At 58.6% G+C, this 15,277-nt stretch overlaps 1 protein-coding gene across 20 annotated transcripts in view, besides 2 other annotated features; it reads right to left on the minus strand.

Moving 5' to 3' along the window:
• CCDC187 (coiled-coil domain containing 187) overlaps positions 1–12,460 on the minus strand; it is a 56,929-nt gene extending 44,469 nt beyond the window's left edge. For 19 of the 20 annotated variants that reach the window (XR_007061299.1, XR_007061300.1, XR_929795.3 and 16 more), the window contains exons 1-4: positions 9,247–9,653; positions 8,371–8,852; positions 5,779–5,877; positions 3,273–3,380 (exon numbers count right to left, since the gene is read on the minus strand). Coding sequence is in view for 16 of the 20 variants with exons in the window: in XM_047423386.1 (XP_047279342.1) it covers positions 3,273–3,380; positions 5,779–5,877; positions 8,371–8,852; positions 9,247–9,389 (832 nt within the window). In the remaining 4 variants the exon portion in view is untranslated. Of the gene's footprint in view, positions 1–3,272; positions 3,381–5,778; positions 5,878–8,370; positions 8,853–9,246; positions 9,654–12,370 lie in introns of those variants that run through there. The other variant, NM_001291516.1, reaches the window with a different exon arrangement.
• Positions 12,136–12,225: an enhancer, noted in NCBI's record as "active region_29304". NCBI's record gives its function as "activates an Ori minimal core promoter by ATAC-STARR-seq in GM12878 lymphoblastoid cells {active_cell/tissue: GM12878}" and the evidence as "EXISTENCE:reporter gene assay evidence [ECO:0000049][PMID:35858748]".
• Positions 15,097–15,146: a silencer, noted in NCBI's record as "silent region_20507". NCBI's record gives its function as "represses an Ori minimal core promoter by ATAC-STARR-seq in GM12878 lymphoblastoid cells {active_cell/tissue: GM12878}" and the evidence as "EXISTENCE:reporter gene assay evidence [ECO:0000049][PMID:35858748]".

Here is a 15,277-nt window from a genome sequence, read left to right on the forward strand (position 1 = left end):
GGCAGCTCCACCCCGTGGCCTGGGGTCAAGACCACTGTGGAGTCTCAGCCAGGGCTGGCCCTGGCCCCCATGAAGGGGGACTTTCTGCCAAATGAGAGTGCCTTGGGCAGGGACCATCCAGAGAGCTGAGCACCCAGGGGCAGGCTCCCGGACTGAGTCAGGGACTTCCCTAGCACCCCCCAGACACGGCACCCTCCTCACACTGCCCTGACCCCTGGCCATCAGCCACAGGCCTGAAGCTACCTCTCCAGGAAGGTGAATGGGCTACATGGTTGCACCCACCAGGCCATGCCCTCCCAAAGCCACGTCCCCAAGGACAGGCTTCCCATGGCCACGGCCTCTCCAGGACAGGACCCCAGGCCATGCCCCACACCCACTTTAGGGCAGGACCCCTTAAGGCCATACACTGTCTAGGACAGGACCCCAAGGTAGAGGAAGGTTTAGGGCGTGGTCTCAGGATTCTCAGACCTGGGTTTAAGTCTGGCTCTGCCACTCACCAGCCATGGGCCTCAGGCAAGTGTTTCACTTATCCATGCCTCAGTTTCCCCATCTGTAAAATGGGGTGCCTATCTCACAGCACCTCCCATAGGGCCACAAGAATGAAAGGGCAGTCACGATCATTGCAGGAGTTAGGCCTGGAAGAGGGTCAGGATTCCACTGGCTCAGGGTGGTGTCAAAGGCCGGAGTTGAGGCCAGCGTGACCCAACTGGTCACAGCTGGGTTTCGGGGGGGACCCAGCGTGGAGGGGAGCCCCGGTGGGGTTTCTCCATCCTAGTCCCTACAGCTGCTCTCCCTCGCTGGGTTGCTGGGCCAGGGACCCGCCTGGGGAGGGGCTGCCCGCCTGCCCGCCCGGCCCCTCCATTGCTGGCCACTCACTTCCCCATTAGCCCGCCAGAGGGTCCCGCTCGATAAATGGGTCCTGATGGGCACATTTTTTCTTCCGCTGAGCAGTTTAATGGCAATTAATTTTTTTACGAGAGGATTTTTAATCTGTGGAAATGGATGAAGTCCCCAAGTGCCCTGTCAAAGTTCTGGGGCCGACCTAATCTATGATAAAAAATGCAAAGTGAGGTGATATAATCTGAAATTAAATATCAGGCTTCATTTTCCTTTGGCCCGGATGGATGAATATTTTATAACTATTGTGATTTAATTTTTTGTTAACTACAGCAAATTTCTAATTCATCCAATTCCCAAGTCCTGTGGCTCTGACCTCTGAACCGAAACTCATCTCTCCTTAGCCCAGCTGTGACTTCGTCACTGACAGAAACTAATGGTCAACACTGTCAGGGTGACACGGTGTTTACGATGATGAATGCGGCCGGTGGCATGCCCTCTGACCCAGTGTCAGGCAGAAAGCAGGTCATTTTTCAACAGAGCCATTAAAATAAAACAAACCAAAGACCTGGGGGAGGGAGGGGGTGATCATGCAGAAAATTGTTATATTGTACGCATGTTTCCACGGCCTTCCGGAACCTTCTGGGTGCCCGGGTCCCTACATCGCAGTCCCCTTCTGCTCGGCCTCTGGCCCCGCTGAATGCACACGGTGGCCCCGCAGCCCCGCTGAGCTCCCACCTCACCCGCGTGTCCTCTCTGGGTATGGGCACAGAGGCGTTTACTCTCGGCTGGAAGCTGCTGCTCTGCCTAGGAGCAGAGGGGCCGGCAACTGATGACACGGGACAGATGCTTAGGCACCTGGGCACGGACAGAACGCACGCCACGCAGTGCCCCTCCCCACGGCCCCAGGGCTGTGATTGCACGCAGTGTGGAGAAACTGAGGCATGGAGCATTACAGGAGTGGCCAGCGAGCTGGCACTGCTCACACTTGGAGTGAGGGTCCCACAAAGCCAATCTCAGGCGTTCACTCCACCTGGGGGCTCTTGCTGGTGTCTCCAAAACGCTGTGGTTCGGTGGCCCCAGAATCCACGCCTGGAGGGTGGCCTCGACAAGCTGCCCAGGCGTGGCCCCAGGTGCACACGGCTGGGCTTCCAGGTTAGGAGCACCGGCCTTGGGCTGGACGGGTGGGAGGCTCTGCCTCTGTGCAGCCCCGGGCAGGCTGTGGAAACTCTGTGAACCTCGGTTGCCTCATCTACAAAATGGGAGCAAGACTGCCAACCTTGGCGGGGAACCAGGAGGCTGCAGTGAGCTCACAGAGTGCGGGCACTGGCCACTCCCCTGACCTCGAAGACGCCCCAGAAGGAAGCCCCAGAGGGACTCTGCCTGCCACCCACCCGCTCAAGGGCAGGGGCCGCTGTCAGGTTCGCCCTGCAAGCTCTGAAACCCATGCCCAGGCTGGGCCGCTGGGTCTCTGCAGGGCACTGACACCTCTGCCCAGTCCTCAGCAGGGAGATGCCTGGATCAGAAATTCCTCTGTGACCACTGGGATCCACCCACAGGATTACCTGACTGGACTCTCCGGGAAACACGCATGAAATTAATCGTAATGCAAGCACATGGCTGACTCACACACCCCCTGTGCCTGCACAAAGTCCCCAAGCTACTGGAGGGAGTGGGGTCTGCGGAAGACCCTCTCCCACCCCCAAGTGTGCAGGTGGAAGGAGATGCCCTGGGCTTGCTCACTAAATGTGAACGTGTGACAAAGAAAGCAAGCACGGCTCCCTCGGCCAAGCGTGCCCTGAGCTGCCCACTGCATGTGCACACATGCCAGTATCTGTTACTGCTCTGAAGAGCCGTGAGCTGCAGGTGGCGTGAGCTGCAGGTGGCGTGAGCTGTGGGTGGCGTAGGCTGTGGGTGCCGTGAGTTGCGGGTGCCATGGGCTGTGGGTGTCCTGAGCTGCGGGTGCCATGGGGTGTAGGTGCCCTGAGCTACGGGTGCCGTGAGCTGCGGGTGGTGTGAGCTGCGGGTGGTGTGAGCTGCAGGTGGTGTGAGCTGCGGGTACCGTGAGCTGCCAGTGCATGCTACAGTGTGGTTGAACAGCTCTGTTTTCTTAGACTCGCCCAGTCTCTGGGTGTTGAGAGGACAATAGTGCCTGGTGTTTGGTGGACTTTCACTTTGTCTCAAGGGACACGCCCCTGCCCGGACAGGAACCACCTGCTGCTCCAGTGGTGGCCAAGGTCACCAGTTGCCTGGGACACCAGCCCTGACGCTCCAGCCGGGCCTGCCGATCCCAGGTGCCCTGCAGAACCCTGTGTACATGGCAGTCCGACTGGCCAGCCCCAGCCCCAGCCCCAGAAATGAAAGCCATCTGCCTACCTAGAGTGCCAGGATCATATGCACCTAGCGTGCCAGGGCCCCAAAATAGCAAACCTTACCTTCGTCTTTGTGTTTGTCTTTGGCCGCTCTTCTAGGGGAGGGCAACTTGGGGGTCTTCTCTCTTTTGCAAGAACTGCTTTTGACCCTTTTGGGTTTTTCCCTCAGAACTTCAGTGAGGAAGAGAAAGGAAGGGAGGGAGGGAGGGTGAGCAGTAAAGTGACACACGGGCCCCCCACGTGGCTACCCCGGGGTCCTGTGCAAACACAGTCCCTAGAGCCATACACATTGCCAGTCCTGCTCCCTGCTTGGCGAGAGCCAGGGTGGGCAGCTAACGCTGGGGACAGGCCACAGTCTGACTGTCACGTCCCCTGCAGTGCTCTGCCTGGGGACTGCCGCTGGGGACTCCTCCTTAGAGAGGCAGGCATACCTATTCAAATTCCCTCCCGAGTGTCTGGTGGCCTCCCCTCCAGGCCCAGAGGTCCTGAGGACAGGAACCAGTTTCTCATCTCTGAATCCAGCACCCAGCTGGGGGCCCGGGCCATGGGCACTCAGGACTGTTTGCTGACTGAATGAATGACTGGACGGGCCAGGCCCCAAGTGAATGCACAGAGTGGCAGCGGCCGGACTGAACATCTCTGGGACCAGGGCCAGGAGGAGTGAGGGCCAGACCTGGGGGGGCCTTGGCACCATGGAGTGGACCCCTCTGCCGATGGGGAGGAGATGGAGAGCCCGAGGGGGCGGAGTTTGTTCAAAGTCCCGCAGCGAGTGCAGCGGCCACCGAGAGGGCCCGGCTCCAGAGGCTGGCTGGTCATCTTTCCCTGCTTCCGACTTCCTTTAGTCTCTGCACAGCTGGGGTGGGGGAGTATCTGGGAAGCCGCCATGCGAGAACCTGCCTTGTCCCCATGGGTGGGGAACCACAGAAGAGGACCCTGGCCCAAAGGCGTCTGGGCCTCCAAACGCCACTTGGTCCAGGCTGGGCCTGTCTCTTGGTTTTCCAGGCCCCAACTCTGCTGGCAGGAGGAGCCTCAAGAGCCAGGTCCTCTGCAAGGGACACAGACTGTGATCCCACTCTATGCGGTCCCCAGAGTCACTAGGCCCATAGAGACAGGAAGTAGGAAGGTAGGTGCCAGGGGCTGGGGGAGAGGGATGGAGAGTAAGTGGGGACAGAGTTTCAGTTTGGGAAGATGGAAAGTTCTAGAAACAGAGGCTGGCAATGGCTGCACAGTGCTATGAATGTGCTCAGCGCCACTGAACTGGGCACTTTAAAAAAGGGCCTCCTCCATGCCTGCTTCTGGAGAGTTCTCAAACTCGGAGCGTGAAAACGAGGCTGCCAGGAGCCGGTGACTGATAGGATGGGGTGGTTGAGGTCCCTGAGTGACCCATTGCTGGACCCTGAACTTGACCTGGGGCAGGGGCAGAGAAAGTGGTCACCAAGCTGATGCCATTGGGGTCCCCCTGGAAGGCGGAGGAGGGAGGAACAAAGTGGCGCTGACCACAGGGCTCAGGCGGAACCGGATCTGGATGGACAGGAGTTCCCCGGCAACTGTGGGGTCAGGGAGATGGCTCTGTCCCCTGCTCTCCGAGGGGCCAGCCCTGGACCCCGCCCACATCTGCACTGGCTCACACTCCACATGGGAGGGACACACCCAAATGCCTGCCTGTGGCTGCTGCCCAACCAGACCTCACGGAGAAACCACCGACCTGGACCCACCCGGCCGGCACTGCACCGCTGGGATGGACAGCAACTGTCCCCACAAAAACGCACATGATTCCCTGTGCTGAGCCCGAAACGCCTCCGCTCCCAAGCTCCCCATCCTTCATTCTGGGCCTCAGGAATCTTGCCGGCGTCTGCCTGTCTCTGGACTCGAGAGAGCCTCCTGCATCCATTTTGCCCCAGCAGCAGAGTGAGCCTGCCCAAGCCCAGCTCACGGCCATTCCCTGCCTAGACCTTAATGGCTCCCATTGCCCGGGATGAAGGCCACATCCTCCAGCCCCCAGAAGCAGCTCCTGCCCCCTCCATCCTACCCCTTCCATTTGTTGAGCAAATGAGTAAGCAAAAACCTGGTGGGGCCCTTGGCCCCAGCCCCTTCCTCACGGGCCTGGGAGCCCGCCAACGGTTCAGCGTTTCCCCATCTGTGGGCTGGGGGGGCAGTGCCTCCCATCTACAAGACGGAAAAGTGAGCCCAGGAGCTGGCAGGGACCTGGAGGGCCCCAGACCCACTCCCTGTGGCTGGCATGCAGCCACACAGAAAACTCCTTGCCTGTTCTGTGCAGGAGATCTCTCAGCAAAAACAAACAAACAACAACAACAAAAAATGCCCCTGCTCAGCTCCCCTGCCCTGCAGGGCCTGCCTGGGTCCTGCCCCACTGGAGAGGCAGAGGGTTAGAACACAGGCTCCAGAGAATGGCAGTCTGGCTCCAAATCCCCCCTTGGCCTCTTTCCAGTTGGGGTCCTCCCTGACCCTCAGTGTCTTTGTCTGTGAGGGTGGCCCAGCATGTGCTGCCCCCATCATGGCCTGAGCATCCAACCCGGAGCACCAGGGCAGCCGCCGCAGAGCCGCTCACCAGGAACCTGGTGCTGGGAGACCCTGGAGAGCTCGCGCCCCTGGCCGTGGGATGCCTTGGCTTCAACTCTGCGCTCAGCTGCACTCAAGATGCTGAAACCTGGAACAGGGTGAAAAGAAGAAGGCAGCGTGAGAAGAGAGATCCGCAAAGAACTTCCAAGAAAAGGTTCCAGTTTGGCAGCAGCTCAAGAGCATTTATTTATTTATTTACTTGAGACAGGGTCTCACTCTGTCACCCAAGCTGGAGTGCAATGGCGCAATCTCAGCTCACTACAACCTCCGCCTCTTGGGTTCAAGCGAGTCTCCTGCCTCAGCCTCCCGAGTAGTTGGGCCAACAGGTGCTGGCCACCACGCTTGGCTAATTTTTGTATTTCAAAAGACTTTTTTTTTTTTTTCTGAGGCGGAGACTAGCTCTGTCGCCCAGGCTGGAGTGCCATGGTGTGATCTCAGCTCACTGCAACCTCCACCTCCCAGATTCAAGCGATTCTCCTACCTCAGCCTCCCGAGTAACTGGGATTACAGACGCCTGCCACAACACCTGGCTAATTTTTTTGTATTTTTAGTAGAGACGGGGTTTCACCCATGTTGGCCAGGCTAGTCTCGAACTCCTGACCTCACGTGATCTGCCCACCTCAGCCTCCCAAAGTGCTGGGATTACAGGCGTGAGCCACCGCGCCCAGCCTCAAAAACTTTTGAATAGCACATCTGACCAATGTTCCAGGCCTGAGAATGCATCCAGTGGGGCCATCAGGAGCTGCACCAGCGCTTGGCACGACGCAGGCATCTCACACAGAAACGCCTCTGGCAGTGGCTCCGCGGAGCCACCAGCAGTGAGCCAGGCCCTGCGCGCCTTCATGCTGTGCCCTGGGTGGGATTTGGACCACGTAGCACCAGGAAGGAGGTACCACAGTATGGGATTCAACTCCTGTTCTTGCAAAGGGAAGTAATGACTTAGAGGGGTGCACCCCAAAGTATTCGCTCAGGCAGGTTGGGGGAGGAAGGTACATGGGGAATTGGAATGATTTTTATTCCATTTTATTCATTATTTGTGCTTATTATACCTCCCACCGCTACGAAAACATGCACTGCCTTAAAAAAACAAAGTCACAAAAGGACAAATTCTGTGATTCCACTGATAGGAGGTCCCCAGAGTTGTCAGAGCTACAGAGACAGGAAGTAGGATGAAGGGTCCCGGGGCTGGGAGGGGACGGGGGTGAGTGTTTCATGGGGACAGAGCTTCAGTTTGGGAAGATGAACAGTCCTGGAGACGGAGGGTGGTGGCTGCAGGACCGTGAATGTGCTCAGTGACATGGAATCATGCACTTTAAAATGGTTAAGATGGTACATTTTATGTTATGCATACGTTACTTTTTTTTTTTTTTTTTTGAGACGAAGTCTCGCTCTGTCGCCCAGGCTGGAGTGCAGTGGCGCAATCTCGACTCACTGCAAGCTCCGCCTCCTGGATTCACGCCATTCTCCTGCCTCAGCCTCCTGAGTAGCTGGGACTACAGGCGCCCGCCACCATGCCCAGCTAGTTTTTTTTGTATTTTTGGTAGAGATGGGGTTTTACCATGTTAGCCAGGATAGTCTCGATCTCCAGACCTCGTGATCTGCCCGCCTCAGCTTCTCAAAGTGCTGGGATTACAGGCATCAGCCACCGCTCCCGGACTACATATTTTTTTTAATCAGAAGTTATCTTAAAAATAGAGGAGGCTGGGCACCGTGGCTCACACCTATAATCCCAGCACTTTGGGAGGCCGAGGTGGGCGGATCATGAGGTCAGGATTTCGAGGCCAGCCTGGCCAACATGGTGAAACCCCGTCTCTACTAAAAATACGAAAATTAGCCAGGCATAGTGACGGGTGCCTGTAATCCCAGCTACTCGGGAGGCTGAGGCAGGAGAATCGCTTGAACCCGCAATGAGATTGCACCATACTCCAGCCTGGGTGACAGAGCGAGACTCCATCTCAAAAAAATAAAAAATAAATGTAAAATTAAAGGAGGAAAACATCTTCCCTGTTTTCTTAGGAAAAGAGTTAAATACCTGGACACAGAGAATCCACAGGACTGGCTCTCAACATCACTCCAAGAGGGAAGCCGTTTCCAAACTTCTTTAGTTACCCCTCCCACCCCTCACCCTTCCAAGGACAAGACCCCCCCACCACACTCCCACCCCCTGTCCCTGCAGGAGGGAAGCTGCCAGACTTTCCAAATCCCAGGCTGACTTTTTAGGGCGCTCCTGACCTAAGCCCCCACAAATCTGACCATGCAGCCCCCCAAGGCTACAGGGACAAAGGCACAGACTCTAGGTCCAGGGACCAGGCCCCCTCTTCCAGTGCCACAGGCCCTGTGTGCCCCTCCCTCCTGGGCGCTGGCATCTCCACCGCTCCTCTGTCGTCTCCAGGGAGGGATCCTCATCATGGACCCAGCTCAGAAGCACCCCTTCATGACTCCTAATCCCCACCCTGGGGGCACGCTGCATACACCCGGCTGGCCCCCACCACGTGTCCAGCACAGCCCGATCCTGCCCGCTTTCCACCCTCCCGACAGCCTCGCAGCCCTCCTGCCCCTCTCTGGCAAAGTGGCCACTGACCTGAGCATTCAGGGGCTGGAGGGGGATTTTTTGCCTCTTGGCCTTTCCTCCTAAGCATCAGCGTGGAGGCTTTGTGGAGTCTGGAGGCGCTGGAGGGGGCTGAGGTGCCCAGGGACGCACAGCTCCCCTGCTGCCACGCCTGGGCCCGGATCTTGTCTCTCAGCTGCTCCAGCCGCGCGTCACTCTTTCTGGGCCTCTGCTGGGGCCCCAACACCTGGGGTGGCCTCTCCTTCCAAGACACACACACGTCGTGGCCCCCCGAAGAGCACGAGAGGCGGCCCGATGACACCGAGCTGTCCCCATCCCTAGCCTCCGGGCCTGTGGACCACATGGGCAGGCTGCACGCCTTCCCCCAGGGTCCTGGTTCCTTGAGGTCGTCAGACCCGACCACGTGGGGAGCTGCCCAGGGTGGGTCTGGCTGCTGGGAGGGCCCGGGCCACCTCAGGGCTGCCACGTCATCCTCAGCTGCAGGTGCGCAGAGCCTGGGAGGGAACGGCAGACATGCCGGTCAGACATGCAGGCGCAGAGGTGCCGAGCAGAGCCGCTCAGACTGGCCCCACCTCCCCGGGCATTCCTGCTCCACAGACTGGAGGTGGAAAGGAGGGCCTGGAATACACCCCACCTGGAGGACAGCCCCGGCATTCTCTCTCAAGCCCTGACCACACCCCTCTGAGGTAGGTAATGTGATCGGCCCGATTTACAGATGGAGAAACTGAGTCTCAGAGAGGCCGGGCTGCCTGCCCAAAGGCACGTGCAGAGGCAGGCACGTCACTCTGACCCCACGCCCTTGTACCTCCCACAGAGCCGCTGCCTCCAGCGGCAGGCATGGCACCTGCCAGCAGTGCAGCCCCCCGCCTAAGTCCACGCAGATGCTACCTGGGCTTGGCAACAGCCTTCCAGTCGGCTGCTCTCCCTGGGGCCCCATGGGAGAAGGGGCCCTGCCTCTGGCTGTTCTTGTGGCAGGGCTGAGGTGTGTCCCCCAGGCAGGTGGGCGGCGTGCCCACGACCAGGGTCGGCATGGCCGCGGGGCTGAGGGGAGAGCAGGTGCAAGGTCAACCTGGCCCGCCCTGCCTGGGGTCGCTGCTGCCTTCACATGGCGGCTTCGAGGCCTGCAGCCCCACCTATGACCCTGCCCGGGATGGGCTGGCCACTGCCTGGCTCCGGATGCCCGCCTGCGCCGGTCCCCTGGCCCACGATGGAAACCCTCAGGTGGGTCATTGAAACTGGGCTGGCACGGTGGGCAGCCCGGCCCTGGGCTGGCCACAGCTGGGGGCCTTCCTAATGAGCTGTCTCTTGGTGGGGTGGGGGAGAGTTCCGGCTGGCCCCGTGACAGCATAATAACCTTGTCACTCAGCGACAGAGCCTCTGGCCTTCAGCTCCTGATGGGGCTCTCAGCGGTGCCCCACCCAGTCCGCCCAGGCCCAGAATGACATGCAGGGAGGGAATGGGGCCGGGCTGGGCTTGTGGGGTCAGTGTTGGGCAAGTTTCTGGTTGGTGGGGGCGGGGCCTAACCCCAGGTCAGGGTTAGGTTCAATTCAGTCTGAGGCACAGAGGTCCCAGCAGCTGTGGGGCCCAGCCCAGACATCCCAACAGAAACACATCAGCCACCATCTCTCAGTTCCATGGGGCTGGGCAGGGGAAGGGGCGCTGGCTTCTGGGCTCACCCTGGTGCAGGCCAGAAGACACCCTTTGCCCACAGTGACAGTGGCAGAGATGCCAGGTGCTGCCCCAGGTCAGGAGCCCCCGCTGGCCTCCTCGGACCCTGCACATCCCAGTGGGTCCGTGACACGGCAGTGTGGTGGGGAGGACATGGCTCTGCAGTCCCTGAGGGGAACTCAGACTCAGATCCCAGTTCCCTCCCAGCTCCTTCCCCACCCCCACTGGCAGTGCCACCTTGGAGCCTGGGGACCACCCCCTCCCCCAATGCTCACCATTGTGAGCCCCTGGTGAGTCCATCCCCGCGGGAGGTGGCAGTGGCACGGAGCTGCGATGATCATGAGCACGGATTTGTTCCAGGAATGGCCCTTAAGTTGACCCTTCCCAAGTGGCCCCAGAGAAGGGAGGTCTGCGCGAAAGACCTCTTAAGTCTAGGAAGGCACGAAGGATGGAGGGCCCTCCTCCAGGCTCACGCTATAGAACCTGTCCTCTGGAACCGCCAGGCAAACGCCTGGAGACACCGCCCAAGCCCAGCCCCACATAGGCACGGGGCCCAGGGGAGATTCCAAGCCAAACGGGGCCCTGGCTGCCGGCAGGCACAGCCACGGGCATCCAGGGCACAGAGGCTGAGCCACCAGCAGCCTCGGAGGGGAGGGAGAGAGGAGCCATCCAAAGACAGGCAGGCCCTGCGTATAATGTGAGGTGCGGCCACCTCCAGCCCCACCTGGCCTGTCTGCACCCTCCTAGCGCCAGGGCATGAGCCCTTTCCTGTGATGAGGCAGGGACAAGGATGAGCCTCGGGCTGTTACACCCTGGGGAACATGTCTGGGATGTTACAGGGAGCTTCAGGGAACCAGCGGTGTGACCACAGGGTCCCCCCACCCTCGGAGCCTGAACGGCTCTCAGGCACCCAGAAGGCAGCTCCACTTCCAGCCCCCTTCCATTCCTACAGAGCCTCGCCCTGCCCAGGGACCCCTCTGCAGCCTCTGCTTCCCAGGGCCATCCGAGTGGTGCACAGGCCTGGCCCCCCTGCTGACGGGTTGCCACCTCCCTGCCAGGCCTTCAGGCTCCCAAATCAGCTGTGGTCCTGGGCTCTCAGCCCTGCTCCCATGAAGGGACAGGGGCAGGGTCCTCCTGAGCAGAAGAGGCCAAGTCTGGTGGCTCCCTTTCTCCCATGAGCAGGAAAACCACCCAGCCACTCAGCAGCTGCCTGGAGGCTCTGGAAGAAGGTGCATCATAAATGCGTGGAAATGCGTCGCTGTGACTGGGAACAAAATCATGACAGCAAATGCCTGGGAACGGAAAAGCAAACCCAGCGAGCAGAGCATCGCGAGGTCCTGCGAGTTGCCCCCACCACCGGCTTCCTTCCTTCTCCTCCCCACCTGCCCTGGGGGACAGCGGAGCGTCTGCCTCCCTGGCCTGGTCACCAGCTGAGGCTTCCAGACGCAGCTCTGAATCAGGAGACACACGTCAGCTCCCGAAGGCGGGTCCACCTGTCCAGGACCCTCTGCCGATGTTGTCCGTGCCACGGGGACCGCTCACAGCCTGCACCGGCTGGCGCCCCTGCCCTGCCCCCAGGAGACTCACGCCTGCTGGGGTACGAGGCTCGGGGCTACTCTGCATGGGGTGGACAGGAGCAGCAAGGCTCCAAGAAGGCCACTGGGCAGAGGCTGCAGCCTGAGTCAAGGGGTATCCCCTGGGCAGGCCAGGCCCCCCTGTCCCCAGCAGCACGGGAGCCCTGCAGCCAGGCCCAGCCAGCCACATCCCCACCCTACTCCGGGCCTAGCTGGGTCCGTACCCATTCAGACCCTGCACCTCAGCTCCTGGCCTCTCCGCAGCCACACTGCTCTCTCCACTCCACCCACCATGCTCCAGTCCAGCTCAGTGAGGCACATGCAGTTCCCCTCCTGGGACCTCTGTCACCCCTCCTGAGCCTCCCTCCCTGGGGGGACGGTCCCCTGGGGGCAGGAAGTAGCCTTGCCCATGGCACACACTGGCGTGCAGATGCTTATCGCTGGAAGAGCGTTCCAGGGCCCCCAGTGCACCACGCGCCGTGGCAAATGCTTGATGACTTATCTTACGTCGTCTCAGGGCAATCCCACCAGAGAAAAACAGGTGCTACTTCCACTTAACCAGCGGATGAGGCTCAGCCTAAGTCATGTGTCCAGGGTCCCAGCAGGGTCAGAAGGCCGGGCGTGCCAAGCTGTCCTACACCTTCCATGTCCCCAAGGCCAGGAGAGAGCAGCAGCCACCTGGGGTCCCAGCACCACGCAGAGCCACTGCATGGGGATGGCTCCTCGGCTGGGAGGGGCTGGGATGAAAACCCCACAGAACAGCCACACACCTCCCCTTCCCAGCAACGGTGGGGCCCAGAGGCCAAGAGCCGTGACTGGCCCAGACATGCGGCTGTCTCTGAGGCCGGTGATGGCGGGCCAGTCGTTCAACCCGCTGGACACGGGTCTTCCCCTCTGTAAAGTGGGCGGAGAGTCAGCCCTGGCTGCTGGGGCTCCTGGGAGTCAGAAGACACATGGAGTACACAGTGCTCACCCTGGGGCTGGGGCGGGGGGAGAAAGGAGGCCAGGGAGGGACCAAGACGGCACCTCTGTCCTCAAAGGGCAGCTCCGCGCCCAGGAAAGGAAAAGGGCAGGTTTCCAGGGCCCAGGAGAAGCCCTCCCAGCAGCACCAGCTCCCAGGGGTGACCCAGGTGGAGGGAAATGACGCGCAGGGGACGAGGATGCCCGGGCACTGTGGGCTCCGCACACCCAAAAGCACATGCCTCCCCGTGATACACAACACACAGCACACACACACACAACACATAAAAGTACACACACACCACACATACTACATGCACCACACACAATACACATGCACACACACACCACACACAATAAAGCACACACACAACACTCACACCACACACAAAGCACACACACACTGCATGCACCACACACAACACACACCATACACACAGCACACACAATACAGACATACAACACACACCACACCACACAACACACACAAACACACATCACACACAGACACGCAACACACACACCATATGCCATACACAATGCATAACACACACATCTCACACACACTACACAGACATACACCACACACAACACACAGACACACCACACAGATCACACAACACACACAGACCAACACACAGAAACACACACCATACACATCACACAACACACACAGACACACAACACAAGGACAATCCACATCACACACACGATACACAGACAACACACTTCACATAGACACACACCACACACAACACACAGAAACACACACCACACACATCACACAATGCACACACAATATACACTTCACACACAACACAGACAACACATATCACACACAATACACAGAAACACACACCACACACATCACACAACAGACACACAACACACACTTCATACACACAACACAGACAACACATATCACACACACAATACACAGAAACGCACACCACACACATCACACAACAGACACACAACACACACTTCATACACACAACACAGACAACACATATCACACACACAATACATAGAAACGCACACCACACACATCACACAACAGACACACAATACACACTCATACACACAACACAGACAACACATATCTCACACACAATACACAGAAACGCACACCACACACATCACACAACACAGACACACAACACACAGACAATACATGTCACACATACACGATACACAGACAACACACAGAAACACACACCACACTCATCACATAACACACAGACACACAACACACACACTTCACACAGACAACTCACATAACACACAGACACACAACACACACACTTCACACAGACAACACACATTACACACAATACACAGAAACACACCACATACATCACACAACACAGACACACAACACACAGACAATACACATCACACACAACACACAGAAACACACCACACACAACACACAGACAACTCACAAACACAACACACAGACAATACACATCACACACACAATACACAGACAACACACACAACACACAGAAACCACATACATCACACAATACACACACTTCATACAAACACAATACACAGACAATACACATCACACATAACACACAGACAACACACACACCACACACAAACGCACAACACAGACACACATTACACACATAACACACAGATAACACACACACCACACAACACAAACACATATCACACATACACACAACACAATCACACAGACACACACACCACATGCAGACACACAAACTCACAGACACAACACACATTGCACACAGACATCATGCACACACACAAACAACACATCACATCCATATTATACACACATCACACACACACAACACACATTACACACAGAACACACAGCACAGACAACACACATCTCACACACTGACAACATCCATTATACACACATTACACACACAAACACACACCAGACACACAATACATGGAAAAAACACATAACACACACACACCACACATGCAGGCAATGTACACAACACACAGAGACAACATGCACACAACACACACAACACACACAACACACACCACACACCTCTGCCCAGCTCCGTACAGGTGTAGCCTGCAGGTGGCACCTCCCACGGCAAGCGCAGCCGGCTGCCGCCGTGGAAGCCTGTTGGCTCTCCAGCCTGTGGCATATGCCGCACTACTGCTGCGGTCTTGGCTGGCGGGGCTGGGTGGGTGGCAGGGTGGGGGGCTTCCTCCTGGAAGCTGGTGGCAGCTCTGCTCTAATTAGTGACGCTGTTTACTTGGCACCGCCTCAACCTAGAAAAGCAAACCCTGGGCAGGCCCAAGCAGGCCTGGGGGATGGAACCAGCGGGCCGTGAAGGAGAGGTGCCCGCCACGCCCCTGCCTCATGGGGCCCAGGGCTGGAGACCACAGAGCCCTCCGCAGCCACAGCAGCCGAGCACAGGCCTGGACGTGAGCATGGCACCCAGCATGGCACCCAGCCTCCACGTCCCCAGCCCCAGCCCTGGGTGCCAAGCAGTGGCCCCCAGCAGCAGACACACCAGGCTGGCCCTGCACCCTGGCCAGGGGCTCCAGCCACCCTCAGCCATGCCCTGAGGCCACCAGGCATCGAGGAAAGGGGCAGGTTTCCAGTGTCCCAAGAGAAGCCCTTCCAGCAGCGCCAGCTCTCCAGGGGCTGACCCAGGTGCGGGGAAATGACCCGCAGGGGACGAGGACGCCTGGGCACCTGGGGACCCATA

This window comes from Homo sapiens, chromosome 9 (genome assembly GCF_000001405.40).
Source record: "Homo sapiens chromosome 9, GRCh38.p14 Primary Assembly".
NCBI lineage: Eukaryota > Metazoa > Chordata > Mammalia > Primates > Hominidae > Homo > Homo sapiens.